This window comes from Homo sapiens, chromosome 10 (genome assembly GCF_000001405.40).
Source record: "Homo sapiens chromosome 10, GRCh38.p14 Primary Assembly".
NCBI lineage: Eukaryota > Metazoa > Chordata > Mammalia > Primates > Hominidae > Homo > Homo sapiens.
In genome coordinates, this window is record NC_000010.11 from 85,222,696 (window position 1) to 85,232,600 (window position 9,905).

Sequence of the window (9,905 nt, forward strand, 5' to 3'; positions counted from 1 at the left end):
TTTATACACTTACACAAAAGAACCATTTGCATTATATTGGTGACCTTAAAACTCAATCAGTCTTGGTGAAATCTTTTTTTGAGAGTCTGTATTTGTTTCTGCCACATTAAAAATAATTTTCATTATATCTGCATATAACAGTGCAACACAGAGGCTGGGCATCTTAATCATGTGGGTGGGCCCCTTGCAGAGGCTCAGTGTGTTTAAAAACATACTCTTCTATTTAAGGGTTGTGTTGGGCAAACACCAAGTAACTTTCACAGCTTTGAGGTAGTAACTTTGATTCATGGGCCTCTCAAAGCTTCTATGATTTGCATTACTATAGTTAGAAGGTTTTATTAAAAGTTATACATTATAATAACCCAGATTTAAGAAAAACGAATATGGGTTTTAATACATTAATGTTCTAGCTACACAGCTAATTAAACATTCAGAAAATCAAAAATACTAAGATTAAGATTTGAATGTTTCAAATGATTTTTAAGACTGAAAAATAACATGTTTGGTTATTAATGTGGCTACCAAACTGATTTCCTTTGCTTTAGCTGCACACCTCAGAGAGCAATGACGAGGAAGCCAGGATCCAGGGACTTTCATTTGGGGAGATATCTTCAGGCACGCAGGTCATCAGATCTATTTTAACAATAGGATTTCCCCATACGATGATGGACATATGATGGATTACATGTGAAATAAATAAATGAGTAAGTGAAGAAAAGAGGAGAAAGAGTGGATGTCCTAAATCTAAGCAGAGCAATAGGATTAGCAGTATGGACACAGCCTTCAGGAGGAGTGAGGCAATATGACAGGCCCACCTGTGATGGAAAATGCCAGGCACCTTGCAAAACTCGTGAATTAAGAGAATTCTCAAGCTTGACACATTAGAGGTGAAATAGGAAATCATTCAGGCTTTCTTTCCCTTGATGGATGGAGCCTAGTAGTACATTCTGGCTTTGAAAACAAATATACCCAGAAGAATGAAAGGGAGGTAACTGCCGGAAGAGAGTAAATTCAGAAGCCACTGTTCTCCCAATTATCTTTGGAAGAGATAAAGATTTATGGAAAGATGTTTATTCAGGAAGATCAATGGTTTCCTGTCCAGTTCTGGGTACCCAGCAGAAAATTTTCATTTTTTATGGTGAGTGGAGAACACCAATTTATCTTTCTTTTCAGAGGCTACAGTTGACTGGGGGTGCGGAGAGTGAGCACACCTAACTTGGTCTCCTCCATCACTATCTTCCTGGAAATGGTTCAATAAATTTACCTTAGGAAAATATCCAGCAGTGCATTTGCTTCCTACAAGAAGTTTTGATGGCCCTCCTGTAGGACTTGGGCTGGCAGAACAGATTTGGACAGAAAGGACGGTGAGGGGGAAGGAAAGCTACTGAGTAACAGCCACAGCCCACAATTGCTCCTCAGGCTGAGATCTGTGGAGCAAAGTCACTGTGCAGCAAAAGGTAATGTGAGCGCCCAGAGCACTCAGCAACAGCCAGGGGACCAAAGCGTCAAACCGGAGCTGAGTTGTGAGACAGAGGGAGGATGAAGTATGGTTCTTCCTTTTGCTTTCATTGGCCAGGCATATATTAAGTGGCATTTATCCCAAGAGCTCTGCTCATTCCCAAAACACCCATTCCATTCCCTACAGCCCACGGTGGTCCAACACAAGTTTAGGTAGCAATTCTCACTGTGGGTCCGGCAGGAGGCAGAGACTTTTGGCAAGAAAAGATGGTAGCAAATAGAAGAGATTTTTCAGCAAAATGCTTTCTGATGTTTGTAGAGATTCTATCTCCCCAGGGAGCCTGCCCCACTTCCCCATTCCTGTCTATCCATCTGCCTTAACAATCTGTTCCTCAGAGACTCCACGGCTCTGTAAAAGCTGACCTGGGTAACCATAGCCATCCCCATGTAAGTGATCTGCTTCTAACCCAATTTTCCATCTGAGTTAACAAGACGAAGTGAGTTGAAGCAATTGGACTTTGATTCCCAGTGAGCCTGTAACAGAGCCTACATTTAGAAAAGAACTCATCTTTCTCCTCCCCAAGCTGTTCATGACAGCCACTATGTCCCTGAGCCTTTGAGCTGCACTTAGATATGGTCTCAATTAATATTTACTTAAGCACCAGATGGACATTTTCCAGCCCATACCAGCGGGCAGATCATGCGGAAGAGTTCCTCACCCCTCCTAAGTCAGGCACCATTAATCCTTCAATAATCAGTCAATCAAGCAATCGATCTACTTTTGCCAATTAATAAAAGAAAACTTCTAAAGGCATGCATGCTTCCCCCCCGCAATCACTCATTTTAGCATTCCTATCACCGTGGACCATCTGACAGCTTGTAATTTTTTTTTTAAGCAAAGCTTGAAGAGGAAGACATTAGAACCTTCTGAGAAACTTTCTTACTCATTGCCTGAGATAGGTTATGTTCTTGCCTCTTATTCTGTTCTTTCTTTTAAAAAGTTCATTTCCTTTTTTAAAAGCAGCAAAACTATCTATAATCTGATGCATTAAAATAGCTTTCCCGTTACTAATGAAACCAATTTTTAGAACTAGCATTCAATTTGGCAGTTTTAATTATGGACATATTTCCAAATCTGATGAGAGTACCCAAGATATATTGGACTGTGGCTTTATGTTTTATTCCAGGAAGAAAAAAATTCTACCCTCAGTTGCCCAGATCGCTTGCTTAGCATTATGACAATCACAAGCACTGGATTGGTGAAGGACATGGATAAGTCAGACAGATGGGGAGGCAGAGAATGACAAAGGCATGGCTTCAGACAAGCAGTGACTGAGGACAGCAGGGTGGGGGTGCTGAGCGTTCTGTAGGGAGGAAAGAATGGGAAATAAGCCTGAGCCTCAGGGAGGCTGGGAACCAGAGGTAGGGGTGGCTCTGTGGAGGATTTGTTTTAAACAATCCCTCCCAATCCATCTCTGAGTGTGGTGACATTAGCAGAAATAGAGAGCATGTGGCATTTGAGGAACATTTCAGTTTCTTCTGCCTGCTTAGACCACACTGTGCAACAGAGAATTTATTAGCTCACAAAACATAATTTATTGGGGCATAATATACTGTATTAGGCCATTCTTGCATTGCTATAAAGTAATACCTCAGACTGGGTAATTTATAAGTAGAAAGGTTTAATTGGCTTACCATTCTGCAGGCGATCCAGGAAGCAAAATGGCATCTGCTTCTGAGGGGGCCTCAGGGTGCTTCCAATCATGGTGGAAGGCAAAGGGAGAGCAAGCACATCACATGGCAAAAGCAGGAGCAGAGAGAGCATGGAGGGGGAGGTGCCACACACTTTCAAATGACTAGACCTCATGAGAGCTCACTCACTGCAGTGAAGACAGCACCAAGCTATGAGGGATCCATGTCCATGACTCAAACACCTTCCATCAGGCCCCACCTCCAGCATTGGCCCCACCTCCAGCATAATATCCAAACCATATTATATTTGAATCCAGTTTTCCATGTATGAGTAGATCTGCTTTTAGGAAATGCCCAACCTGAGGAGCTGTGTACAGGAAACAAGAAATGCAAAGCACTGAGCCCAATGCCCTGCATGGAGCAGAGGCTTAATATATATTTCTTAAATGAATAAAATGATAAATGGATGAATGGATATAAGTTTATTCCCTTTCCACATTCTGATTTCTGCAAGGTCTATGATTTGGAGACCAACTGAGGATCCTAAGTGATCTTATTTATCTGGGTAATCACTCCAGGGCTGAAAGTAGGTCTGAAATATCAGCCTCACCCAGCCAAGTACTAACTTACAGCAAACTAGTGGGAAATAAAAAGCAGAGATAATAACTAACATTGGTTCAGAGTGCACTGTCTGTCTGATGCATTTCCAAATGCATACATGTACTAACCTGTAATCATCACAATGATCCTATTAATATAATAGAGACACAATTTTTAATTCCACTAACAGATGAGAAAAATGAAGCTCAGAAAAATTAAATAACTTGCTCAAAGACATTCTGCTTGTAAAGAGCAGAGCCAGGAGTTGAACCCAGGCGGTTTGGCTCAAAGCCTGAATTCCTAACTTCTGTGAAGCTCTGCTTCTCCCGGCAGGATGAGCTCCTGAGAATCCATTAACTGGAGGATGTGGGACTGACCCCAGTGATAAAAACTGCAGTCCAAATACTATAATCAAATGAAAGCTGGTCTTGAGGAAGAAAATGAACATGATCATCCCCAGGCAATGGATGTCACTAGTAAAAGGAGGTGGTTTTTGGCAAAGGTGGTTCATTCAGTTTAGCAGAAAATCCCTGCCTGAGACTGTATTTGAGGAGACAAGGACTTCCCCTAGTGAGAGCAATGTGGTAGTGACTAGGAAGGATGTTAGGACATCAGAAAACTGAGGAGAGCAAGAGAACAAAGCAGTAAGTGAGATAAGAGGACAAATTGCACTGTGGACATGTGGTGGGGATTAGTGAAAGTCTACAATCTATCAATAATAAATTATGATTAAGGGTTAGGGTAGCAAGGCTAATCTAGTCTCTTTCTGCAAATGGCCTGGCTTGCTGAAATGTAGCCAGGTTTTCTCAGGGTCTGGATGGCCTGACTGAGAAAGTTCCAGGCCTTAAGGACTCGGAGAATGATTGCTGAGGTCAGAAGCCAACACAAGTATGCAAAGGTAGGCACAAAAGCTAACCATCTAGGCCGGGCGCAGTGGCTAACACCTGTAATCCCAGCACTTTGGGAAGCTGAGGTGGGCGGATCACTAGGTCAGGAGATTGAGACCATCCTAGCTAACATGGTGAAATGCCGTCTCTACTAAAAATACAAAAAAAATTAGCCAGGCATGGTGGCGGGTGACCGTAGTCCCAGCTACTTGGGAGGCTGAGGCAGGAGAATGGTGTGAACCCAGGAGGTGGAGCTTGCAGTGAGCCAAGATCGTGACACTGCACTCCAGCCTGGGTGACAGAGCAAGATTTCATCTCAAAAAAAAAAAAAAAACAGCTAACCATCTGTTCCAGGGAGGAGCAAACAGGTGGCAGGCAAGTGGTCCTAGCAAGAGGCTGAGATGGAATCCAGTATCCAGAATAGCCATTCAAATAGACGATGAGCAGACAATTAACAGATGGGTGGCATCGGGTGTCCAGAGTACTGCAGGTGGGCAGTTGAATAGTATCTGTTGATAACCAGAGGTATAGATGGAAATACAGCTGAGAAATGGTGACTATGGTCCACCTGAGGTCTAGACAACTCGCTGATGAGGTCAGACACCAGCAGAGGCACAGGTGACTAGAAGAACATCATATCACAGGATGACTGGCATTCAGATAGTACTGTGGGATCCCAACATGTACAGGTATGCTTTGCTGTCCAAATTCTCCACAATCCAAACTTTTCCAAACTTGAGTATTGGAAAGCATTGTAGAGGTAGTGATTTTTGTATCAGGAAGCCAGTCTAATGGAGATGGGGCTCCATGGAGTAGATTATCCTGAAGCTGGAAGGACTGGAGAAAACCTTGGTGCCAGGCTAGTACATATAATGCCACAAATTAAGTGCTACATGGCCTTTTCTTGTAGGATCTCAGCCCTAAGGGCAGGTCAAACAGGCTGTAATGTCCTGATCCACTGGTTGGAGTCGATATTTCAGCTCCTAGTTCCCTGCCCAGTTGCTCTCCATACCACAAGAGGCCCCACACAGCAAGGGATGAGCCCAGCCTGCTGAAAAGTAATTATACGCCAGGCCCAACAGGCTCCTATAGAGGCCCCACCTAATGGTTTCAGGCCACAAGGCACTCTGTCCAATGTAGGGCTCTGAGAAATCCTGGTATGTGAAAATGACCAATCCAAGCCTTCAGGCCCCTAAAGGAATTTTCTGGCCTTCTCATTTTGCCATACTTAACAATAAAAGGAATCAAATCAGGAACCTACCCCACCACTGCACCCCATGTACATACACATTTATGCTCTTGGAAATATGACTTCTGTTCCACAGTTGGCATGCATTTCCCTTCTATGAACACTTCCTTCTCTTGTTCTACCTAGCCTCAGCTAACGTTTCCTTCCAAGTATGGTTAGGCCAACCTTGTTCCCTTCTTCCATTAAGCCAGCCTCTTCCTGTACTGCGCTCACTCCTCAGCCTTCATTTAACCTCTAGAGTAGATTGTAGACAACTTTGCAGAATCCTGCAGCCCTGTGAAAAATGACAGAGCAAACAAAACAAGGGCTGAGCACAGTGAGCCAACAGCCTTTTGCTGACTGTGGTTTCACATGGCTCAGCCAAGTCTTAGTCCTGCTCAGGCTCTTTGGCTCCTCTTGGTCCCATGGTCACAGGGCACCCTTTCACTCTCTCTAGTTTCTTCTGGCTCCTCACATGGGTCACACACCCTCTTCCTACAGGGATTTGGCACTTGCTGCCTGAAATAATCTTCCCTCTCCTCTTTGCTAGATACCACTTACACATCCTTTAGATAAAAACTCTATTATCAATTCCTTAGGAAGCCTTCTCTGACCTCTTGATTAGGCAAATGCTCATTCTCAGAGTACCATGGCATGCATTTTGGATAGCTATATTCATATAACAATTTGTGTGGCTGTTAGATTAGTATCTAACTCCTTTCCTGGGCTATAACTTCTCTGATTTCATTTACTTTGGTACTCAGCACTGAACATGATACTTCCTAGATGTCCAATGAATATATGGTAAATGAATGAATAAATGAATGCCTTTGGTGAAAACACTAACAGCCCCAGGCTGAGCCTATATTTCCCTATATGCAGAATAGGAATAATGAAAGTAAACTGCCAGGGTTTTTGTGGTAGATTGGATCATACAGCATCTATAAATGGCCTTGCATGTTGTCTGGCACAGGTTCTGTCACCCCTTACCTTCAATTTATTTTGTTCTCTATTTCCCAGTGCCCAAGTGTGGCAAGGTCTCTCTCTCCCTGCCTAGGGCTTTAATCTGAAGTTAGCCCTGCAGGAGAGAGATGCATAATGCTAAGAATATCGACCTTATGTCAAATCCACATGCAGAGAGGCCATGGAGCACCTTATCTCTCTTAAGCCTCTCTTTTCTCACCAGTAATGTTAGGATTTTAATAACGCATAGCTCATAAGGTTGTTATTGGTAATACACTGAAAAGTACTTAGCACAGTACCTGATGTGATATTCAGGAATCAATAGTTGTTGTTATTATTTTTGTCTGTATCACAGGGACCCAGTTAGATGTTCATGAAAAAAAGAATATATGAAGACTGGCCCAGAGTTTGCCACATCCTAAATATTCTATTAGAATCCTGTGTAGTTAAACCAGCCAGAGGGCTATCCTGCTGACCAGGGGAAAGGTCCTGCAAAGCCAGGGGAGCATCACTACACTATTTTGGTTGGAGGGTTTCCTTTTGTAAGTTGGCTTCTCAGCCTTGTCAATTCAGCAAAATGCATTTTGCTGAAATTTGAAAATGCTCACTTGATCATATTTCCACTTATTCTTTCTGAATACAGCTCTCGTTGAATCCTGCTAAGATTGGCAGTTCCATTTTTCAGTTCTCAAAGGACATCTTAAAGGATAAAGGAAAATTCTATCCACTGTAGCTGGCTGTGTATCACTGCAAAAGAGTTTGTATGAGACTAGCTTGAGCTCTAGGTAGACAGGAAAAGAAACTGCAGAGGATGAGCCAAATAGATGAACCAAAAAAGCCAAGAAAGAGAGAAACAGAAAAAGAAAGAAGGAAGGAAGAAAGGAAGGAAGAAAAGAAAGGAAGAGAAGAAAGAAAGAGAGAGAGAGAGAAAGGAAGGAAGGAAAGAAGGAAGGAAGAAAAAGAAAGAAAGAAAGAGAAAAAAGAGAGAAAGAGAGAGAAAGAAAGAAAGAAAGAAAGAAAAAGAAAAAAGAAAAGACATGAAGACATTTTGTCATCAAACACAGACTGTGTCTGATTTCTTGAATAGAGGCAGGTTGACATTAACAGGGCCAGGGGGAATTAGGGAGGACCCCAGCGAAAATCAACATGCTTCCAAGAAGTTTTTTCAAGTAGAATATTGCAAAGATGAGGCTAAGACTCCATTCAGGAAGCAACTTCTTATCCTTGAGCAGAGGGTCTGCTGAGTCAGCCTGCAAGTGAATCTTATCCTTATACATCCTGCCAGAACAAGGAGAAATGCTTAAAGAAACTCCAACAGAAATATAGGATAGAGCAGGGAGACGCCTTGTGGGTCATGGGAAATATCTTGGAAAGACTCCTATCAATAGCCCTACCCTCCACGTGGATTTAACTTCAGGAGATCTCTACAGGTCTAGAATTAGAATTAGGACAATTAATGACTCTCATTATAGCAGTACATGTTTAAGTTCTGGCTTACCCCACTGGAAATGGAACTTATTTAGCCTCTGTCTTATGTGGGTGAATAGTAACCTGCTCTGCAAGGCTGCTGGTACATGTTACTCCAGCTCAGACACAGTGGCTAACAAAGACTTCAATGGTTCTTCAGTATTACCTGGGTCAAAGAGGAATATTTTAGAGCAACTGAACCATACACTATAGAATGAATGCTAGGCAATTATATGTGGTTATTTTTGGTGCATACATACATACTCTCATCAAGCTGTAATTAATATACTTCAGGATTTGTATTATCTCTAATCATTCCCTCAACACCAAATTAAAGAGCTGCTTGATGTCTTTGGTCAGATATCTCCCTTGTTCACTCAATTTTCAATTTTTATTTTTGCAGATTGGAAAGATGATGTAGCCTTTGAGGGCACAGAGACCAGAGCTGAGATCCTGGGTGTGCCATTTACTAAGTGTATAGCCTCAGGCAAATTGTTAAACTTTCTAAATTCATTTCCTCCACCAGAGAGCCAGAATAATAATACTCACCCCCATAGGATTAGTATAAGGATCAAATGAATTCATGGAGGTAAAACATTTTACACCATGACTGGCAAGAGTGAGACAAAGCCAATGTTAATTCTCTTTCTTTTCTCTTTCCATATTCTAGTGTACATTGGACTAATTTCATGTTTACTTCACAGTTTTATGCAAACTACAGAGAACTTTTCAACTTGCCCTTTCAGAAAGTTTGGACTTTAATCCAGAATCTTCATCAACCATGTACAAAGCTCTAGCTACTGCTGTTTCTAATCTGCTACTCTCTAGACCGGTGCACTGCTTGAACTTTAGGAAGTCTCTTCTTCCCTAATTCTAAATTGATCACTGGGAATAAATTTGGCTTCTCTTTTTCTATCTGGCTCATGTGGGGAGGAGGAATTCTGAGATTATCATGACTTTTCATGGCAGGAAAATCACTTCCAAATTAAGTGTCCATTTAAAATATGCCCTAAGTTGACAAAGTCATTGATTTTGTTATCATTCCAAACATGGTTCCAGGTAATATAGTCAATTCTTGCACTGTCATAGTGGCATGGACAAAGCAAGAAGTAGCTTCCATTTACACTGTTTTTGGATCCGAACCCTCCTGTGCTTGGAGCTGAGAAGAGAGTCCATATGCTTGGACTGCAGTGGCGAGGGCTTTGGAAATCATGTCTTGCAGTTGGCAGGGGAGTGGGGCCCTGGGCTGGTCAGGGAAGAGTGTTAATATAATTGAAAGTAATTATGTTGACAAAAAGGGGAATTGTAAGGGCACCTCATAATTACAAACAGATGCGTTTGGATAATAGCAACCAGTCTTTCAGGGGCCCAGCAGACGGATGATTCGGCAGGGACTCATATCCCCAGTGGGGCAGAAATGCCTTGACACCTCTGATAACCCAAATATGGCAAGTCAGACTGATGGAGTTATTTGCAGAGAAAATGGCACACAAAGAAATCAGATGAGGAGGTCAGTATGGTAGGAAAAGCTTAGGTTTTAGAGCCAGATAGACTGATTTAATTCCAGATATACCACTTAATAGCTGTATGCCTTCATATTAACTATTCAA

The 9,905-nt window shown here is 42.2% G+C and overlaps 1 annotated feature.

Moving 5' to 3' along the window:
- Positions 9,391-9,617: a silencer, noted in NCBI's record as "fragment chr10:86991842-86992068 (GRCh37/hg19 assembly coordinates)". NCBI's record gives its function as "represses an EF-1alpha promoter that drives an FKBP-Casp9 reporter gene in an ReSE screen in K562 erythroleukemia cells {active_cell/tissue: K562}" and the evidence as "EXISTENCE:reporter gene assay evidence [ECO:0000049][PMID:32094911]".